The 22,997-nt window shown below is 37.2% G+C and overlaps 1 protein-coding gene across 3 annotated transcripts in view; it reads right to left on the bottom strand.

Annotated features, from left to right (window-relative positions):
* ATP7A (ATPase copper transporting alpha) overlaps nt 1-22,997 on the bottom strand; it is a 139,703-nt gene that overhangs the window by 51,190 nt on the left and 65,516 nt on the right. For 2 of the 3 annotated variants that reach the window (NM_000052.7, NM_001282224.2), the window contains exons 3-5: nt 10,475-10,964; nt 9,248-9,973; nt 522-728 (exon numbers count right to left, since the gene is read on the bottom strand). The exons of the other annotated variant lie outside the window; for it this stretch is intronic. In NM_000052.7, the coding sequence (NP_000043.4) occupies nt 522-728; nt 9,248-9,973; nt 10,475-10,964 (1,423 nt within the window). The remainder of the gene's footprint in view (nt 1-521; nt 729-9,247; nt 9,974-10,474; nt 10,965-22,997) is intronic. 3 annotated transcript variants of the gene reach the window in all.

Raw genomic sequence — 22,997 nt, 5'->3', positions numbered from 1 at the left:
GGCCAACATGGTGAAACCCCATCTCTACTAAAAATACAAAAATTAGCTGGGCGTGGTGGTGCATGCCTGTAGTCCCATCTACTTGGGAGGCTGAGGCAGAAGGATCGCTTGAACCCAGGAGGCAGAGGTTGCAGTGAGCCGAGATCGCGCCACTCCACTCCAGCCTGGGCGACAGAGCAAGACTCGGTCTCAAAAAAAAAAAAAAAATTATGTTCCTTAAAATCCAACACAACCATGATTGATCTATAAAAAATAGTAATCTCGTGTATTTCTTTCTGCTATTTTTTTTTAACGAATTTCATAGATATACAAATGTGATCATGAGGTAAACAAGAGAGGAACTTTATCTAAGGCAGCAAAACACTAAGGCTTCCAGGACATCGGGGTTGTCCCACACATTACTGAAAATCTTTATGAGGCCTTACCAAGAATCATAACATAGTTACAAAACATGTAAGAGAACAAAAAAGATGGAGCTCCCAAACTAGCACATAAAATAACAAGCTTCAAGAGTGTCTCACCTTCTTCCCGCCTTAAATTCCGTTCAATGTTTGCTACACAGGAAGCGCAAGTCATGCCAGTGACCTGTATGTAACACTTAGATGAATTCTTTCCTTCCTCCTTGTCTTGAACTGGTGTCATCCCTTTAGTATAAAATTCATTAGTTGAAGTCAAAAGCGGCATTTCCGATGAAGGCTGAGCTATTACTACCAACGGCTCATTCGTGTCTGGTAGAAAGGGAAAGATTCTTTTCATTTGCAGTATTGATCATTCAATTGCATCCTTGCCTTGCATCACAATCCATACCTCCAGGCACTGACAATCTATTCCTTTAAAACGAGCAAGTTCCTACTATCCGTTAGCATTAAGTTATCTCTACACTTTCCTCCGCAGTGACTTCCAATTTCAATACTTCCCATCCCAATTCCCAGGAAAATCTGAGCTACCTGAATAAACAAAACTTTTTTTCTTCTAGCCATTATCTCTACTCCCAATCTGAGAGACAGAGTAGTTTGTTAATGGATAGTTCTTATTTTTATAATGAAATTTTACCATCATGTTGATGATTGGCATACTGGCATCAAAGCAATTCACAGTATATTAAGTGGAACAAAAAGCAATTTGCAAAACAGCATTGCAGTGTGCTGATTTTTTTTTTTAATTTTAGTGTATGCATAGATGAGAACATGCATAAGAAAGCTGGGCGGGGGGGTTACATACCAAACTATTAACAGTGGCTACTTCTGGGGAATAGGGTTAAGGCAGGAATAGAATGACAGACAGATGAATAAATTTCCTCTATCTATACTTCTATATTGTTTGAATTTTTAACATACATATATAATATTTTTAAATTTTAATATGTCTGTGGACAGTGGAAGAAGAGGCAAGGAATAAGTCAGCAAAAAGTCTATTTTGCACAATGGAGTATTCAGAGAATCTTTATGGACTGTGGAAGCTCATATCATCCCAGAAGCTCCCCTGAAGTCTCTGAAATTCTGCTATTTTGTTTTAGTTTATCCACTGCAGTATTAGTTACCTCCCAAGAAAGGAGAAATTATTCTAACACATCCCTGCACCTGAAAAAAAAAAAAGCCAAAGATTTTCTCCTCCCCTGTAGAGAAAAGGAAGAAAAGAGCAAATTTCCACTAGTCTATCTAATTTGTTCATTCTTGTCCTTGGACAAAATACCAGCTCATGTCTATTTAGCTAGCAGACAAAGGAACCCCTGCACAGAAGAGCTGGTTTTCAGGATGTTGAAGATGAGCAAGTTTGGAAGAAACTTTAACAAAAGCCTGACCACTTCCCTACAGAATAATGTAGACTTCTCAAATAAGTATATTAATGCCTCTTAAATCTGAATGCATACACAATCACCTGGGGGAGCTTGTTAAAATGCAGGTTCTGACTCAATACATCTAAGGTAGGGTCTGAGATTCTGCATTTCCACCAAGCTCTGAGTTGATGGCAGTGCTGCCAGCCTAGGTCTGAGTATAGCAAAGGACACTTTAAAAAAATAATTTCAACTTTTATTTTAGATTCAGGAGGTACGTGTACAAGTCTGTCACATGGGAACACCACATGACACTGAGGTTTGGATTTTGGATGATTCCAGCAAAGGACACTTTGAATAGTAAAGTGTTCCTTAATTAGCCTGTCTCTGGTCTTAATTGAATCACTTCAGAAAGATACTGATTCAGATTGTGAGAACTTTATTTAGAACACAGACTGTGAAATTTACCAAATAGTACTGCTGTTATGCTTTTTTAAAAACCAAAGAAAAACAAAAAGGAGGCTGAGTAGCCAAAAAAAAAATCACTTTGGTTTTGAATAAAACCACCATTTTAATCCAACCAGAAGGTTCCTTCATTCTCTCATAATTACTATTGAGACTTAATTATGAACTTGGACAATGAAAAAAAAAGTTTTTTCTGTTCATCACTTTACCTGTTGTTCCAGAGCAATTTCGTTATTTTAGGTACCAGAGGTAACCTGGAATACCATCTGTAATTTTCACACTCTGGAAATACAGTATTATATTAAAATAAGTCATAAGAGGTAGTCCCTTTTAGCTACCTTAGCATGACCTCTAAATAAAGATCCATAAAATTGTATCCTTTAGCTCTGTGAGTGTGGCAAGCAAAAGAGCAAAGCCTTCTTCATCCTCCACAGAGACAGTAAGGGTGTGAAAAGGTCACAATGAATTTTAATTTTTTAATTTTAATTTTAATTTTTCTACAGGCTGTAACAACACTACTTAAACTTTTAAATAAATTCAAAGGAAAATTGATTTTCCTGCACTTGAGGCAACAACTACAAATGATTCCAAATATTTCAAGAAAGAATTTCCAGTCTGATACTCAAAACCGATGTGAAGTTCAGCCTCTGGTGTAGTGTGAAGAATACATAAATAATCTAAAAATGGCTTTAAAATAATCATAAACATCATGTCTGCAGCTTACTCTCAAATAGTTCAGAAAAAAATGTATGTATGTGTGTGTGTATATATATATATAAATGTATATCTATCTATTAAGAGAGAATGATAAACGATGTAAAATATTAACTGTGGAACCTGCATGAAATTGGTAAACAGGAATTCTCTACTATTTCTTGCAGTTTTTTTGTAAGCTTGAAATTAGTTAAAAATAAAAAGTCACGGCTGGGCACGGTGGCTCACGCCTGTAATCCCAGCACTTGGGGAGGCCGAGGCGGGTGGATCACAAGATCAGGAGATGGAGACCAGCCTGGCCAACATGGTGAAACCCCGTCTCTACTAAAAAAAATACAAAAATTAGCCGGGCATGGTGGCGTGAGCCTGTTATCCCAGCTACTTGGGAGGCTGAGACAGGAGAATCGCTTGAACCCGGGAGGCGGAGGTTGCAGTGAGCCAAGATTGTGCCACTGCACTCCAGCCTGGGCGACAGAGCAAGACTCCTTCGCAAAACAAACAAACAAACAAAAATAAAAAGTCACAAAATGGAAGGAATTTAATCAAGTATTTAGATTGCTTTAATTGGTTAGTGATTACTTCATATATCATGCCTTTTTACTTTAAGGAAACGATAATACAGATAGTCAGGATAAAAGGCATCTCCCATTTTTCTCACTACCTCTTTTTTTTTTTTTTTTTTTTTGAGATGGAGTCTCGCTCTTGTCACCCAGCTGCAGTGCAGTGGCGCAATCTCGGCTCACTGCAACCTTCGCCTCCCACGTTCAAGCGTTTCTCCTGCCTCAGCCTTCCGAGTAGCTGGGATTACAGGCGCCCACCACCACGCCCGGCTAATTTTTTTTGTATATTTAATAGAGACAGGGTTTCACCATGTTGGCCAGGCTGGTCTCGAACTCCTGACCTCAGGTGATCCACCTGCCTCGGCCTCCCAAAGTCGTGGGATTACAGGCGTAAGCCACTGCGTCTGGCTTCTCACTACCTCTTTTAAGATTTATAGCTCACCTAGGACTAGTATGATACAAAGGCAAAATGTGTCAATCCTTCTGTCTGAGAATGGGTGGCAGAAGTAGGCTGTGAGACCTGGATCAGCACTGACACTTACACTTAAAAAATGGGTAGTTACAATTCTGGTGAAATCTTAAACTCTAATCTCTAGCAGAATCACAGAATGCAGTCACTTCATGTCCCGATAATATGGGTCACTGTAGTTAAGCTCTATCAATTCTTTTATGGTGACATTCACTATGCCAAGGTTTTTTACCTACCCATCATGGCCATTAGTATGTATGTTATAAGCCCTAACAGATGCAGGGCATATAACTGGCTCCTGATAATCATTTGTTGAATAATTGATTCCCGGGGCCCTTAACAATAGTAGGTTGAGGTAAAAGACATTGTTAAAAGTTACTGAGGCCAGGCATGGTGGCTCAAACATGTAATCCCAGCACTTTGGGAGGCCAAGGTGGGTGGACTGCTTGAGCCCAGGAGTTTGAGACCAGCCTAGGCAACAAACTGAGACTCCATCTCTACAAAAAATAGAAAAAAATTAGCCGGGTGTGGTGGTACACGCCTATAGTCCCAGCCACTCAGGAGGCTGAGGTGGGAAGATCGCTTAAGCCCCGGAAATTAAGGCTGCAGTGAGCTGTGATCGTGCCACTGCACTCCGGCCTGGGCAACAGAGCGAGATTGTGTCTCAAAAAAAAAAAAGTTACTGAACTTGCTGCAGTCATAGTTCCTAAGGACTAGGTAGATGCTATACATGGTGCCAGAGACTGATCAAGTACTCTTGAATTCCATTTACTAGTTTGATCAGCTAAGGTAATTGAAAAGTTGCTTTTACTCTGCTCACATTTGTTATATAAACCTTCATAAAATGCTAGCTTTTTTGGCTGGGCACTGTGGCTCACACCTGTAATCCTAGCATTTTGGAAGGCTGAGGCAGGCAGATCACCTGAGGTCAGGAGTTCAAGACCAGCCTGGCCAACAAGGCGAAACCCTGTCTCTACTAAAAATACAAAAATTAGCCGGGCATGGTGGCATGCGCCTGTAATCCTAGCAACTCAGGAGGCTGATGCAGGAGAATTGCTTGAACCCGGGAGGCAGAGGTTACAGTGAGCCGAGATTGCGCCATTGCACTCCAGCCTGGGCAACAGAGTGCAACTCTGTCTCCAATAATAATAATAATAATAAAATGCTAGCTATTTTAGCTATCCATATTGTGCTAAATCTAAGCACAAAAATGGGCAGTTTCTCCTGTATCTTTGGGTCTTCATTCTGAAGGCTCCCATGTCATGTAAAACTATGATCAAATAAATTTATATGGCTTTTCTCCTAAAAAAATGCTAGCTATTTTAAATTATAATATTTAATATTATACAGTCATGAGTCACTTAAACGATGGAAATATGTTCTGAAAAATGCTTTAGGCAATTTCATCATTGTGTGAACATCATAGAGTGTACTTACACAAAACTAGATGCTCTTTATATTTGTATTTATATATATTTTTTCAGATGGAACACCAAATGTCCTAGCACCATTAATGAATATCAATCATTTCTCCTACTTGATCTGCTATGCCAATATCAAATGCCTTATATGAGGTTTCTATATATGCTCCATTATAATCTTACGGGACCACCATCGTCTATGTGGTCCATTGTTGATCGAAATGTTGTTATGACTGATATTATTGCCTTCAATCAAATTTCTGGACTTGTTTATGTAAACAAAGTTAATGTAGATTTAATTTAGAATTTAAAGGTCAATGAATCACATTATGTAGATCAGTGTTCTCAAACTTTAATGTGCAAATGGATTACCTGGAGAGCTCATTAAAATTAAAATGTAGAATTTGATTTACTGGGTCTGCAGTGGGCCAGAGTCTGATTTCTAACAAGGTCCTAGGTGCTGCTGGTCTGTGAACCACACTTGCAAAAATGTGAGTTGCAAAAATATAAACCCAAGTGAATAGAAAAAAATTCTGTTTTTGAATCCAATCTGAAAGTTTATGATGCCCTTGCTTACTGTAATGACAGATACCACATTTGAACATGAAAAATATTTCAGTTTTATACCATATGTGATGTAAGATGATTATAATTGTGTTCCTATATGTAAGAGGCATAGGAATATTATAATGTAAGTAACTTGTTTTGGTGATACTGATATAACTAATTTATGTGGTGCTCATTATTGACAACATAATCCATTATGCATATCAAAGTATTTTAATTTAATAGAAGCTCTGAGAAATAATCCAACATTATGAAGTAGTGAAATGTGAATCAATATAATTTCAAACACTGTCATTTTCAAAAATTTAAAAAAATGTAAGTGGGCCAGGTACAGTGGCTCACGCCTGTAATCCCAGCATTCTGGGAGGCCGAGGCGGGCAGATCACCTGAGGTCAGGAGTTCAAGACCAGCGTGACCAACATGGTGAAACCCTGTCTCTACTAAAAATACAAAAAAATTAGCTGGGCATGGTGGCGTGCACCTGTAATCCCAGCTACTCAGGAGGCTGAGGCAGGAGAATTGCTTGAACCCGGGGCACAGAGGTTGCAGTGAGCCGAGATCATGCCATTGCACTTCAGCCTGGGTGAAAGAGCAAGACTCCATCTCAAAAAGAAAAAAAAAATTAAGTGGTGATAGGTAAAATGAAATTTTGCTGAAACCAATTTTAGTCATTTTTATGGCTCCCTGATATAACTGCACTTATTTCCAACTTAAATTTTTCTTCTGGTTTCATAATTATTTCCTTCAGCAATTATGGATTTCCTACACTTCGTTCAGACTTTTGGTACTAGAGTCCCTTTAACATTTTAGTGTTCTGTATGAATTTTCTAATAGAGAACTATGTATCTCTTTTTTAGAGCAAAAGAATCTAAAGGCCAGGCATGGTGGCTCACGCCTGTAATCCCAACACTTTGGGAAGCAAAGGCCGGTGGATCACGAGGTCAGGAGTTCAAGACCAGCCTGACCAAAATGGTGAAACCCCATCTCTACTAAAAATACAAAAATTAGCCAGGCATGGTGTCAGGCGCCTGTAATCCCAGCTACTCAGGAGGCTGAGGCAGGAGAATTGTCTGAACCTGGGAGGCCAAGGTTGCAGTGAGCTGAGATCATGCCACTGCACTCTAGCCTGGGTGACAGAACAAGATTCCGTCTCAAAAAAAAAAAAAAGAATCTAATTTTTTAGATTAGATTCTAATCTAAAATCTATTTTTTTAAAGACAGGGTCTTGTTCTGTTACCCAGGCTGGAGTACAGTGACACGATCACGGCTCACTGCAGCCTTGACTTCCGGGCTTAAGCAATCCTCCCACCTTAGCCCGCTGAGTAGCTGGGACTACAGGTGTGTGTCACCATGCCCAGCTGATGTTTTGTATTTTTTGTAGGGACGGGGTTTCATCATGTTACCAAGGCTGGTCTCGAACTTCTGGGGTCAAGTGGTCTGCCTGCCTCAGCCTCCAAAAGTGCTAGGATTACAGTTGTGAGCTACCGTACCAGGCCAGATTCTAATTTAAAAATCTCAAAAAATTGAGATTTTCTACATTAGAGTGAGAATTTGAGATGGTAATGTAAAATGGAACAGCTACTTTGAAAAACAGTCTGGCAGTCCCTCAAAAAGTTTAGCTGCCATGTGACCCAGCAATTCCACTCCTAGATATATACCCAGGAGAAATAAAAACATATGTTCATACAAAAATTTGAACTCAAATTGTTCATAGCAGTGTTATACATAATAGGCAAGAGAGTGGAGACAATCCAAATTCCCATCAACTGTTGAATGAAAAAACAAAAATGTGATATATCCATACAATGGAATAATATTCAGCAATAAAAAGGAATGATGTTCTAATACATACTACAACATGGATGGACCTTGAAAACATTATGCTAAATAAAATAATTCAGGCACAAAAGGACAAATGTTGTATGATTCCACTTAAATGATGTCCCTAGAATAGTCAAATTCAGAGACAGAAAGTAGAACAGTTGTTATCAGGAGCTTGGGGAGGGGAAGGAGAAATGGGCAATGACTGCTAATGGATATGTGATTTCTTTTGGGAGTGATAAAAAGTTCTAAAATTATATAGTGATGATGGCTGGAAAACTCTGTAAGTATACTAACAACCACTGGGTTGTGTACCTTAAATGGGCAAATTTTATGGTATGTGAACTATGTGTCAATTTTAAAAAGTGAGAATTCTATAATTTCTACCATTTGTCACCAACAGAAAAATTAAGAACTAAAAATTAATAATGGTATGTCTCTAAGTCCTCTCTCACTGACATTAATCTACCATAACAATTTAGACATGTGTTTAGTAAAATTTTTTACTCAGATTTAGTGAGCCTAAAAAGGGAATACTACTATTTGATATCTTTCATTCTAATCAGGATAGCAAAGATTAATTATATTGTCCAGAAATTGGTTGTAAAACGTTTCAATTGTTATTTCAAGCAAAAAATTTCATTTGGGCATTTTCCAGTTTAATTCAAGGCCAGGTTCAATTCTGGTTCAAAAGAACAATTTCACATAATTAAATTCCATTGAATATACATTTTTTGTTTCAGTTCAAAGGTAAGAGCTGTCAGGAAATACGAAAACTTTGGGACAGCTCTGGAGTCAGTTTAATTTGAATGCCTAAATATAAAATTATAGTTAAAATCCTATTATTTATTTCAACTACTTTTGTTTTTAAAAGAGCACTGGCTTCCCCCATTATATAAATACATAGCTACATACATACATTCTTATTGTAAAAACAACTTATAAAACCAGGAAACACAATGGAAACAAAAATCACATTTATCCTACCACCCAAAGATAATCACTGTTAAAATTTTGGTTCATATCCTACCAGGAATCTTATTCATATACATAAACAATATATACATGGCGTAAATTCAGATACATTTCTTTATAAAATTTTGATCACATTGTATATATAGCTTTTCAGCTTTTTTTCATTTAACAAAATACCTCAGACACCTTCCTGTGGCATTAATTATCTTTAATACCATAATGTTTTATGACTTCATAGCATTTCATCATGAGTTATTTATTGTTGCACCACGAGTTATTGTTTCCAGTTTTTAAATATCATAAGCAATTATACAAACATCCTTATGCATCTTTGTATATACTGCTGGCTACCTCCATAGGACATATTTGCAAAAGTGGAATTACAGTGCCTATGAATCATTTCTCATTGATAAATGCCAAAAGAAGCAGCAAAATGGAAGTAAAAGAACATTAGGGTAATCAAAGAAAAAATGATAATTACCTGACAAGGTAGCATCAAATCCCATGTCTTCTATTGCTCCTCTCAACGTTTCTGGAGAGGTTAGTAGAGGATCATACTCAACAGTCCCATTGCTATTTGCAAGGGAGACTCGTATGGATTTTACACCTGGCTTTTTTGATATGACACCCTCAATAGACTGCACACAGGAATTACAAGTCATGCCATCAATGTTTATCACAGTTTCTTGTGTCAGAGGCTGGCTAACTACATTCAAAGGAATCTTCTGAAGAGATGAGCTGGAGGGAGAGTTTGAGGTACTCTCAACTTCACTTGTGATACTAACTCTATATAGCCCCGGTGATACAGCCTCTATTGCTTTTCTCAGGGATTCTGGAGTGACTGAGCTTGCATTATACTTCACAATGGCAGACCTATTCTCTAAAGAAACTACTATGCTGCTTACATATTGGAGTGCAGATAAAGTACTTTCAATATTTGACACACATGATTTACAATGCATGCCATCAATGATGAAAGTGGCTGTTGAATCATTGGTATATGATGGACTCCTTTGCTGTGACCCTTCTGAGGATTTAACTGGTGTGTTCTTTAGACGTTCTACATCAATAGCTCCCAATTTGAGGTACTTGGGCTGCTTTTTGACAAATGCTGGAAAGCCCATAGCTTCAATCTGCTTTTTCATTTCCTCTACTGAGATAAGATGAGGTTGATAAACAATAGTAGCTTCTTGATTGTCCAGGGAGACTAGTTAATAAAAAGAAATATAATTAATTCAGTTATTCCTGGGCTACTTCAGAAAACATTCTGTTTTCTAAATCAATAACCACAAATAATTGTTTCTCTCTCATTCTTGTCATCATATTTTCTTAATTTTTTTTCTTTTCAGAAAATGTTATTGGCATAGACTAGAAACAAGTAAGAGATATGACCACTGTAGCTATGGTCTCCAAGTTTCTCCATGCCTAAGTAAAATATATTAGAGGTAAAGAGTACCCTAGTCATGTTGTGTTAAGAACCTTGAATTCCATGAATTGCCAACCCAGCTGCCTTTTCTTCAGTTCAAGGTTTATGTAACCTTTAATTATAATCATTAACTTTTAATCCTGGGAATATGCTGTACCTCAATGATACAGCAAGCACTCTAGTCTCATGGATTCAAAACTCATGCTTAAGAAGAAAGCAAAAAGTTAAAAGATCAAAACAGACACCTAAGCCTTACAAAACAATCAACACCAGACACATTACCTTTAATTCGCTGAACACCTTGCAGTTTCCCAATTTTTCCTTCAATAGTGCTAGTACATGAATGGCAGGTCATCCCTTCCACTTTCATCTTCAGCACGACTTCACCAGCTTGAGCCATACTATGATCTTCACAAGCTCCTGACTTTTTCTCCAGTGTCCCAGTATCTAAACTGAGTTCTGGAACCAGCTCTTTTATCTGATTGGCATTCACTATAGAAGGGATTATTGTCACTGCTACAGTTCTTTTCTGAGGGTAAATTTTAATGTCTGTCACACCCTTGGTCTTCAGCAATGTGCTTTGGATATGGTCCCATGGCAAAGTCAGTGACGCCGTAACAGTCAGAAACAAGGTGTCAGTTAAAACAGGGAGAGGGTCAGGATTATGGATAACAGCATCAAAGCCCATGTCATCAATAGCTTCCTGTAGGGTCTTTGGAGTCTGTAGTTTAGGGTCATAAATAATAGTTGCATTTTTTTCTTCCAGTGATACCTTTTGGAAGGAAATTCCAAAAGTCAGTTTAATTAAATTCTATCACACAGGATTTAAAATAATAATCATCACACCACATTCAAGAAGAGTGAGACAACTCAATCTAATGGAGTTTCCCTATTAGTTTTCATTTTTACTCTTCTTGTTAGAAAGAAACATAAAATGTCTTGTGTACCTACAAGAATGGTAAAGTTATATATGCAGACATATGTGACTGTGGTACCTATCAGGCATTTGAAACATGTATATTGACAAACACACCCAAGAATTTCACAACAGAGTACAAACTACTCTTTCCTTCCATTCCTTTCATAAATTACTCCAACACTTCACACTCTACCAACTGAAAAGGTTATACATGAAACAGGATCAGCTACAGAAAAATAAAAGGTAATATGAAGTTTAATATTTTAAAATGTCCAATTTCCTAAAAATATGTATAACTATTATATGTCAATTTAAAAAAATAAAAATAATGTTCAATTAGGATAACTTTGTTGGCAAGAAAAGTATAAGCCTGCCGGTTTATGAGTGAAGGCAGTATTCATAGGATTTTATAGCATATACTCCTATATCCCCCTAAGTCACTAGAGCATACTATTAATTTTGTTCAAAATAAGAACATCTTTATTGTTTTGCCCAATTAGATTATAAAACAATGATTATATTCTTGTAGCTTAGTTACTGCATATAATTTAACTACTGTCATGATTGCATCTCTTTGGCTGACATCTTACAAAGATTCATGATGAAGACACACACACACACACACACACACACACACACACACACACACAAATACTGGGTTGGGAGTCAGAAGATTTAAGTTCCAGCATCAATTCTCCACTTATTAGCTAACCACACCCATTAGTTCTACCATCTGAAAAATGAGAAAATATGCCCTATTATCTTCCAGGGCTATTACAAGGATCATACGAGTAAATAGGAAAGTTCTTCGTAACAGCAGTGAATTATATAAAATTAAACATTGAGCAACTAATATTTATTGAGCACTTATTATGTGCGTCAGGAACTGGGATTCTCAGGATACAAAGCTGAACATGTCACAGGAACAATAGGACAGAGAATACAGAAAAGGGATACCCATTCATCCCTGGGAATATGGGTCAGAAAAGTATTCTTAGGAGAGATAATACCTGAATGTTAAAGGACAAACAGGAATCAGCAAGGATATATGAGGCAGAGAATTCCAGATGAATGGAAACAAAAAAGTAGAGAAAGATAAGAGGCTTGAAAATTAGGCAACTGCTCTATTATGGGGTTCTATATGCCAATAATGGTTGTGATTTATCCTATAGGTAATAGGAAGCCATGGAAAAGTTAAGCAGAGAATTATGTGATTAGATTTTCATTTTAGAGAAGGATCATTCTGGAGGCAGTGTGGAAGATGATAGTGTAGTAGGGTGGAGTGATACAGGAGGGAGGACTATCAGCTAGGAGGCTACTGCAATTGCAAAAGTAGTGCAATAGAGGGTCTGAATTAAGACATGAATACTGGGGGCAAAGATAAAAGAGGCAGCTCCAAGATACATTCAGGAGGGTAGGGCCTCCTAACAAGATGTATAGGATAAAGGAGACGACTAGGATGACTTAAAGGTATCTGGCTTGGGCCAGTGGATAGATAGATGGTGGCGTCATTAACTGATATCAGAAAGAGAGGAGGAAATCAGGAGGAAATTAAGAGGTTAAAGTGGAGGGAAAGGAGAGATGATAAATTCAGTGCTGGACCTATTGATTTTTGAGATGGCCATAGGATATTAATATTCAAAAAAGCAGTTAAATATAGGTGTTATTAATTTCTAGTGAAAAGCTTTGCTCTATAAAATAAAAACTCAAAATTATAATTAAAAGTAATTCAGCATAGAAAATCTCTCTTTAAATTGTCTACAATAGTTAAATCTTTCACTTATTTTAATGAACATATTTTTATTTCTTCCTTTAGCTTGATAATTGATGACTGTGTATTTGGGTGAAAATGTGAAATGTACCCATGGCATGGAAAGTTTCTAAGACTCTGATAATTCTAGTTGGCTAGCTGGTTCTTAGGGATGGAGGAAATCACTAGCATAAATGATCCAAAACAGAAGTGGGGAAATAAATTATATTTGGTTTTGGATAATACTATATAACATTTTCCATGAAAAAAAAATGCAGAATAGTCAAACCACGTATAGTTGAGACATATAGTATTGAAAGACATGCAATATAAGAGTAGCCACCATCAAATGAAGGCTTTTGTGTCCTTGTGTTTTTAAAGAAGGCCTCTTTTAAACTTTAATTTCCCTCCCCTGAGGTGATTTTAGGGTTAAGAAAATGACTGTAAATAATTTAAACTTTCCAACTAAAGGGGAAGATGGAGAACAGAACAGTGGTTTCCAGGGGTTAGAGGTAGGGAAAATGGTAGCAAGAGGGAGTTTTTTAGGGGTAACAGGGCTGCGCTATGTCCTGGTTGTGTTGGTGTTAAACAAATCTATACATGTGTTAACATTCACAAAACTAAAAAAAAATTTCATAGAACTATATACCCAAAAAAAGTCTATTTTACTAGATGATTATTTTTTAAAACAAAAAAAACTATTAAATAAGATTAAAAATTCAGTTCCTCGGTTGCACTAGCCACATTTCAAGTGTTCATTGGCCAATGTGGTTAGTCCTACCAGACAGGGCGGATACACAGTATTTCCATCATCACAGACCATTCTTGGGTGGTATTGCTCTAGGTACTACTATACTTTTTCTGATAAAGTACCAACGTAAAGGATTCTTGCCCTTTAAATACGTTGTATCCGGTACATCTTAAACAAGACCTGGTTCCCCCGCACCCACCCCCCCCAAAAATGTCAATTTACCAACATAGCCAATCAGAAATTGTTCTCATTTTAAAAGCAAAAATCACTTCCTCAGGCCAGGTGGCACACGCCTGTAATCCTAGCACTTTGGGATGCTGAGGTGGTTGGGCAGATAGCTTGAGCTCAGGAATTCCAGACCAGTCTGGGCAACATGGTGGAACCCTGTCTCCACAAAAAATACAAAAATTACCCAGGCATGGTGACACACTCCTGTAGTCCCAGCTGCTCAAGGGGCTGAGGTGGGAGGATTGCCTGAGCCTGAAGGTCAAGGCTGCAGTGAGCCAAAGTCGTGCCACTGCACTCCAGCCTGGGTGACAGAGTGACACTGTCTCAAAAAAAAAAATCACTTTGTCACTGGATGGTTTGCTATACTTTCTAACTGCTTTAGCCTATCTTTTATTTATAAAAGGCATAAGAAAACTATGCATAAAATACTACACAAAAGAGAAGTCAAAGTACCCTACGCTATTTGCATGCTGCAGATGAGAAAACACTTCCTTTAGTAAATTCTATTTCTGTTTTAAAAGCTGACCAACCACACTCAGCACAAACAAAAGTATCCCTCTTTGGGGTAACAGCACTCAACTTTGCCTCTGAATGTTAGATAGCAAAGAGACTTTTCAAACCTAAGGTCTCAAAGGAAACAAATTCACAGTACAGCTCTGGGTGCTAAATCTTTGGGCAGGAAGTCAAAATGGTACTTATTGGCTGGGCGTGGTGGCTCACACCTGTAATCCCAGCACTTTGGGAGGCTGAGGTGTGCGGATCACTTGAGGTCACAGTTTGAGGCCAGCCTAGCCAATGCAGGAAAACCCGTCTCTACCAAAAATACAAAAATTAGCTGGCCGTGGTGGTGGGTGCCTGTAATCCCAGCTACTCGGGAGGCTGAGGCAGGAGAATCACTTGAAGAACCACTTGAAGAACCACTTGAAGAATCACTTGAAGAACCTCGGGAGGTGGAGGTTGCAGTGAGCCGACATTGCACCACTGCACTCCAGGCTGGGCGGCAAAACAAGACTTCGCCTCAAAAAAAAAAAAAGGTACTTATGTATTCAACAAATATTTATTGAATGTCCATTATGTGCCCGGCACTATGCTAGCTGCTAGAGATACAGTGATGAGCAAAACCAGGCAGACTCCATAGAGCTGGAAAGTGCTGGCGGCAGTCTGATTCCGGGTCTGTGCTGCTCTCCTTTCATATGTCCTCTAACCCCAACCCCTGCTCCAAAAATAACTTCCCTTCTCTGCCCTACCCCACCTTCCTCATTCCCCACATTGCTCCAATATTTCGACAGCTTGTCTTTTTCTCTTAATCTTTTATTAGGAACCAATGTTGTTATTTTTATTTTCAGAGGAACTATTTTTCCATTATATCAATCGTTCCTCTGGGCCGGAGTGGTGGCTCATGCCTGTAATCCCAGCACTTTGGGAGGCCGAGGTGGGTGTATCACTTAAGGCCAGGAGTTCGAGACCAGCCTGGCCAACATGGTGAAACCCCGTCTCTACTAAAAATGTAAAAATTATCTGGGCATGGTGGCGGGCGCCTGTAATCCCAGCTACTCAAGAGGCTGAGGCACAAGAATCGCTTGAACCCGGGAGGCGGAGGTCGTGCCACTGCACTCCAGCCTGGACAAGAGAGTGAAACTCCGTCTCGGAAAAAAAAAAAAGTTCCTCTGAAAATAAATGTAACAGCCTACAAATTATAAATATAGCTCATAGGAAAGACTGAAGATGGAGGACTATTCACTGTATTTTGATGAAGGCAGTAGTGGGAGAGAAAAAAGGAAAATATACCAAACGTACTCTGTGGCCTTCATAGTATTAATGGTGGTGTAGAGTGCTGACTGTCACAGAGATTGTAAAGATCGATTCTTTTAATTTTTGTGGTGTTCTGTGTCTCTTGAAATGTCAAACATGAAATTCAGGCACAGTATACTTTATTTGCATATGATTTCTGTATAATTTGCATAAACCCACAAAGACTGCATCTTCTATTCTTAGGCAATATGAAAGCTAGAACCTTAAACAAATTACCCTACCTCTGAGGGCTTCAGTTTCCTGAGAGACTAGATAAAATAATCTTTTCAGTTCTAACTTTCTATATAAGCTAAAAAACTATGTTACTACCACTTCTTAGGTTGTCATCAGTACATGTTTTCTCTTCTGTATTCTTTCTTATTTGATAGGGAAAGGTCCCTCAAAAATTCATGTGCTGAAATGCTAATTCCCAAGGTAATAATATTGGCAGGGGGCCTTTGAGAGGTGATTAGGTAATGAAGACAGAGTCCTCAAGATTGGGATTTGTGCCCTTATAAAAGAGGTCCCAGAGAGCTACCCTGTCCCTTCCACCATGTGAGGACACAGGGAGAAGGCGCAATACATGAACCAGGAAGTCAATCCTCACCAGACATCAAATTTGCCAGCACCTTGATTTTGGACTTCCCAGCTTCCAGAATTGTGAGAAATACATTTCTGTTGTTTATAAGCCACCCACTTTATGGTATTTTCTTATAGCTGCCTGAACAGACTAAGACAAAGGTGATCCAGGTTCCTATATGAAGGCCAGGAAATTGAATAAATTGCCCAAGGAACCCAACAAGAAAATGAAAGAGCTAGGATTCAAATGCAGGTGTATGTAACTCCAAAGTCTACACTCTTTACATCTATAAATGATTATGCTAAATAATCTACAATTTCCTTGGAAAACTAAAATTCTATGCCTATGATTTGAGCAATTTATGGCTTATAAATAATCTGAAAAGTATACAATATTTCTAGTGTTTGAACCAAATTTTAATTGTTTGTTTTTTCCTCTCACATTTCACATATTCTCCCATGCTAGTTTAAATTTGAAATGATTTTAAAACACATTTGAGTTTTTAACAGAACTGACAATCAGAACATTCTAATATTTCCACATTTTTAAAAGTCACTATGGGAAAATAACTTAGCTCAAGTTTTAGCACATTGAAATTCCTTTTTATCCCCCAGGAATCAATTTATATATGATCATAATAAATTCAGGTTAGCATGCTGCTCAGTGTGGGAATCTTCAGACAGTTTAAAGCTTACTTTCTTACATTTTCATATAACAACTCAACATAAAGGTTATAAGAGATTTTTCACAGCTTGAAAGGATTCTGTTATTTTACAGATGTGGAGACTGAAGTCAGAAAAGTGACATGATTAATCAATTATCCTGAATTTCTAATATGTTTGATTCACCACCCATAATATATTTTTGAATCAACTAAAAATTATTTATAATATACAAAAAGATCATCACTTATAATACATACAGTCTCAATACAAATTCCATTATGGTTTGCTGAAAAATATAATGTATTTACATTAATAGGGTAACACTCTATTTGATGCTTCAATATAGAATATTGAAAATTAAAATATTGTAAGAGGAAGCCATCAAGCTCCATGAACATTTATCCTATTTGAGTAACCTAAATAAAGGTTATCACTTTAAAACTATTATATCAGATTATAAACTAGAAAAAGACAATCCTTAGACACTAAATAATAGTCCAAAATCAATCTAAAAATTCAAAAATCAAATGTTTTAAGATGAAAAAGATGCAGACATTCTGTTAGTTTTTATTACATTGTAGCATTGTTTTTCATGAACTAAACCATCTTTAAACTGAGTACTTTGTCAGAATTCTCATTTCTAATATATTCTCATTCTCTCTCTCTCTTTCTCTCTTTCTTTTTAAAAGACAAGGTCTTGCTATGTTGCCCAAGCTGTTCTCAAACTCCTGGTCTCAAGCAATCCTCCCACCTTGGCCTCCCAAAGTACTGGGATTACAGCATGAACCACTATGCCTGGCCATTTCTAATGTATTTTCACTTTGCTTCAAACATTATATGACAAATGTATGATTGTTCGCTATAAAAATTTAAACACAAAAATATACAAAAGAAATAGTGAAAGTCCCTCTTTACACCATTCCTTCACTGCTAAATTTTTTATCTTGGATTTGACCTTCCTTTGGTCCTCAGAATAGAGTTCAGCTAAATCAGAAACCTAATCCTCTTTGAAGCTGACTCGACATCTTCATGGATAAATGATTATTACCTACTAATTTATAATAATAAAAATGCCTATGTTACTCTAATATAGTATTGGTGACAGAGCACCAGTTTGAAAAACAGAATATTCAATGCACTGTCATTTGCCAGAAAAAGCTAAGAAGCCAAAAAAAGAGTCCCATATAGAAAGAAAAATATTAGATGGGGCTCTGTATATTGATGTGGAACAATATCTAAGATATATTTGCTAATTTAAAAAAAAGCAAGGTGCAGAATGATGTGCATAGTATGCTTCCATTTTTAGAAAAAGTGGACACACACACATCAAGTATATATACTTATGTACATGTAAATAGCTTTGGCTGGGCACGGTGGCTCATGCCTGTAAGCCCAGCACTTTGGAAGGCCGAGGCAGGCGGATCACCTGAGTTCAGGAGTTCGAGACCAGCCTGGCCAACATGGCAAAACTCGTCTCTACTAAAAGTACAAAAATTAGCCAGGCATGGTGACAGGCACCTGTAATCCCAGCTACTCAGGAGGCTGAGGCAGGAGAATCAGTTGAACCCGGGTGGCGGAGGTTGCAGTGAGCCGAGATCGCACCACTGCACTCCAGCCTGGGTGACAAGAGCGAGACTCCATCTCAAAAAATAATTTAAAAAAAAGTTTTATATTAATAGTCTTTCTGGAAGGATACATATACATAGGACAACTGGTTTTCCTTGGGAGAGGAATTTTACTCTGTGTATGTGTTACTTTTTCAATAATAAAAACACCAATTAATTGTAAGGGGAGTAAGGAATGTATTTATTGATCCAAAGGAGGAATTTAGTAACTGCTAGCATTGATGTGGTCATTTTTATTTTATTTTATTTATTTACTTTTTGAGTTGGAGTCTCGCTCTGTTGCCCAGGCTGGAGTGCAGTGGCATGAACTCGGCTCACTGCAACCTCCACCTCCAGGGTTCAAGCAATTCTGCCTTGGCCTCTTGAGTAGCTGGGATTACAGGTGCGCGACACCACGCCCAACTAATTTTTGTATTTCAAGTACAGACAGGGTTTCACCATGTTGGTCAGGCTGGTCTCGAACTCCTGACCTCGTGATCCGTGAGGTGGTCATTTTTCTAAAGGATAGTCTCTATTAAGAGAATGGACTATAGCCTTTATCTAATTAAAAAGGAAAAGCACTCAAAAAGTTAGTGTTGTAAGTTTCAGGGACAAACTAATTTGTTAATAAGGCATTAACCTTTGGAATCATTCAGTACTTATATCTAATTAAATTTGTTTTTATACTTCCACTTTCAAAAAGGCCAAACAACCCCGGAGAAAGATCTTCACATTATCTGCCTATTTTACTTTTCCTTTGAACAGACCACCAGGGTGATTAAATTAAACTTCAGGTTAATCCCTTTAAAGTCTACAGTCTTAACACTGGCAGTACAAACAAGAAAATTACATTTATTTACTGTATAACTTAGGACACAATTCCCAAAATGCATTTAAATTCTAAAGTTGCAAAGGCAAATAGTCATATTCTATTTATTCCAAAATTAGAGATTTCCTGACTATTCACTCTTTTTGAATTCTGTTAATTAATCTGTTCTGCTGTTGCATTTTCCAATAAAACAACTTTACTCAATTTAATATCACAATTATATTACTTCATTCCAAACACTACCAAGAGCTCCTTGACTTAGTTGAAACACTCTTCTCCCCAAATCTGATTTCTAAATTAACTGCACCTGAGGCTTAATTATAATCCTAGAAGTTATGATTCAGAAATATTCTTTTTTGTGTACATTTCTTTTTTAACTTTTCTTTTAAGTTCAGGGGTATATGTGCAGGTTTGTGATATAGGTAAACTTGTGTCATAGGGGTTTGTTGTACAGATTATTCTGTCACCCAGGTATTAAGCCTAGTTCCCATTAATTATTTGCAGAAATTTTAAGCTTTAACATTCTTTAAAAAGTAATCAATATTTATGTATGATCATGTTGAACTACATTCTGACTATAAATTATGTTTGGGCAAAGACAGCTTTCTATATGATGTCTAGAAAGAGGTGAATTCACACTTTGTGGTGTCTGAAACTTAAACAATTTGAAGGGCCTTCTTTAAAAAAAGGAATAAAAAACCATAAACACAAAATTTTGTACAAAAGAAAATATTCTGAGCGCATAACAAAAATCATAAGTTATATGGCCGGGTGCAGTGGCTCACACCTGTAATCCCAGCACTTTGGAAGGTGAAGGGGGGCGGATCATCTGAGGTCAGGAGTTTGAAACTAGCCTGGCCAACATGGTGAAACCCTGTCTCTACTAAAAATACAAAAATTAGCCGGGCATGATGCCACGTGCCTGTAATGCCAGCTACTCGGGAGGCTGAGACAGGAGAATCACTTGAACCCAGGAGGCGAAGGTTGCAGTGAGCCGAGATCGCACCATCGCATTCCAGTACAGATGACAGAGCAAGATTCCGTCTCAAAATAAAATTTAAAAAAATTTAAATCACAAGTTATAAATTTTTAAAGCTAACAAATATCATAAAAATCCATAACAATAACATTTTTATTAATAATGCCTGATATACCTCTCTGATAGTTTCTTTTCCTATGTTTTTGGCTGTATATTCTTTAGTGCTTCATTTGACGACTTTATAAAATCACTTGTATATAAAGAAAATAAAAATAGTTCAGTCTTTTCTCTAGATAAAAATTTTTAAAATTAATGATAGTTTAGAAAAGTTCCTTTCAACATAACAACTAGGCATTGATACATTTTTAAAGCTACTGTCAAATTTGAGAAAACTGTTGAGTTTCTTTCATATATGAGCTGTAAGATTTCAGGGCATTTCAAATTTACTTGTGAAGTGACTAATCTTACATATTCTTTGAACTGGTAACATTCATTTACCAGTTTTACACTGAGCCCTGCATCTTCATGTCATGATGCTTAGTGAGTTGGCCCCATGAGTAGTAGGGGTGTTCCAAGAAGCCATCCCTATATCAGAATTCCTAGCAAAAACTCCACTATACACAGAAGTGACAAAGAACCACCTATAGCCAAATAGCCTACTAACCCCAAACTAAACATATCCCCAACTCAACCTCCCCTTAGTCACATCCCCAAAAAGCTCATGGCCATTCCAATATCACACTAACACAAAGGGGAGGTCTAACAGAAGAGTCATTGAAGTAGAAATGGACAATGGCCTTGAAGGGTTGTGGTTAAATTTTTTTTTAATTTTTCAAATTGTACAAAAACACATGACCATATAAACACATTGCTGATACTCCTTCCAGAGTCTTAGAAGAAGGTCACTGCAAATGAGGAGCTCTGAAACTTAAGCTTCATTAACTTCACAGAAAATCTCTCTCTGGCCCCAGAACACTTCACACTTAGTAAAATATTTTTTTAAAAAAGAATAAAGGTTACTAACATAAGGGCTTTTGACTGAAAGAGGAGAAGCAGAGCTGAAAAAGGCAGAACAAGTGTGTTTTCTTTTATTTTTAGCAATCAAATTATGAATGTGCCCTGGAAAGTAGTCTTGAGTATCTGTCACTGGAATTTGTATAAATCACTGTTGACAACACAAAGTGCTTTCACATTATATTGCTGCTATTCTTCATTTTCAGTGTAATCAAAATTCAATTGCATTTGTTTGACCTTAAACAGACCTTATTAAGCAGTGGTGAACTTTGGGAAGATGCAGCGGAAATAGCCATCTTACATATGAGTGTGATGCAAACAGGCTGTTTTGGGAAGCAAGAATGTATTTGCAAACATCAAAGCAGAATCTAGTTTTATAGTTATACATGGATATGTTGGCAGAGACAAATATTCACCTACAATAGTTTGCTAGACAGAGAGTTGAGGGTTTTGGAAAATACTTTAGCTGTCAGTGGACAATAAGTACCTAAGTCATTTGGCAAAAAATTACATGAACTAGTTTCCAAATGGTTAAAACAGCTTTACTGCAATTAGCACAGACACTACTATATAATTAGTAAGGTTCAGCTTCTGTTCTGGCCCTCAACACCAGCCCCACCTCAGATCAAGTGGAGGAGGTTTAATTAGTTTCATCTGAGGATAAATCAAATTCATGTGTCATACTTATTACTCAGTGAAATTAAGCAACTCATTTTTAAAGCATTAGCATTGAGTTTGCAGAGCTACTTTTACTATTCTCTTTACTAATCAACAAACTGCAAAATATGCCTAACTTTTGCATAGATATGATTAGGGGAAAATATTTTTATATAAATTTGAATATTTTGAAGATAAATACGTAAAATAATTACCTGTCATCTCTCAGCTTTTCCAACTTGGCTCTTTCCCCAAAGATCATTAAAGGCAACCGTATCCCTGTTCGGGGATGTTGCCGGGAAGAAGCAATGTGGGAGCCTCTAAGACTGGAATTACGCCAAGGTAGATGGTGAATACAAGAAAAAAAAAATCTACCTTTGGAGCATGTGAAAATGGAAAGTTCATATCTAAGTAGTCACATGGATGTCAACAGTACAGAAAACTTAGGAGAAGGAATATATGCTATGTAAATAAAACTTTTCTAGCCACAGCTATCAACATAGTCTTAGCTAATCAGAGTGTAGAGTCAACAAACAAGAAATACTGCTTTTTCCCTCATACAAATAGTAATATGGATCCAAAGTTTACTCTCTGGCCAAGATGACTATAAAACTTAGACATGGAAAAAATCACCTACAGTTTCAGATTAGGAAGAGAAGAATTGTCCACATATTAGCACCACACTTCATAGGACTCTTGAATTAAGGAAATGTATCAGACTTCATAGAGAGTAATGATGGGCTAATTAGCCAATTTTGGGTAATAAAAACAAGGCAAACTGAAACCAATCTACTCAAGATCTTATAATAAATCAGAATTTTAGGTAAGAATACTGCAGAGATAAAGTATAAATTCTGTATTTCACTAAAGAGCCAAAACCATTTTGAAACCTCTGAAAAATAAATGGTAAAAGTTAATGTTTAGATCAAGAATAGTTAAAAAGTAGAGCTCTCACAAGTATCTGATCTGGAGACACAAAATATTCTAGTTCCAATGTAATCATTCACGCCCTTAAAAATATGATGAGCTTCTGATAAT

The sequence above is a fragment of the Homo sapiens genome, chromosome X, assembly GCF_000001405.40.
Source record: "Homo sapiens chromosome X, GRCh38.p14 Primary Assembly".
Classification (NCBI taxonomy): Eukaryota; Metazoa; Chordata; class Mammalia; order Primates; family Hominidae; genus Homo; species Homo sapiens.
Note: the sequence above shows the minus strand (reverse complement) of the source record. Positions and strands in the feature narration are given on the sequence as shown.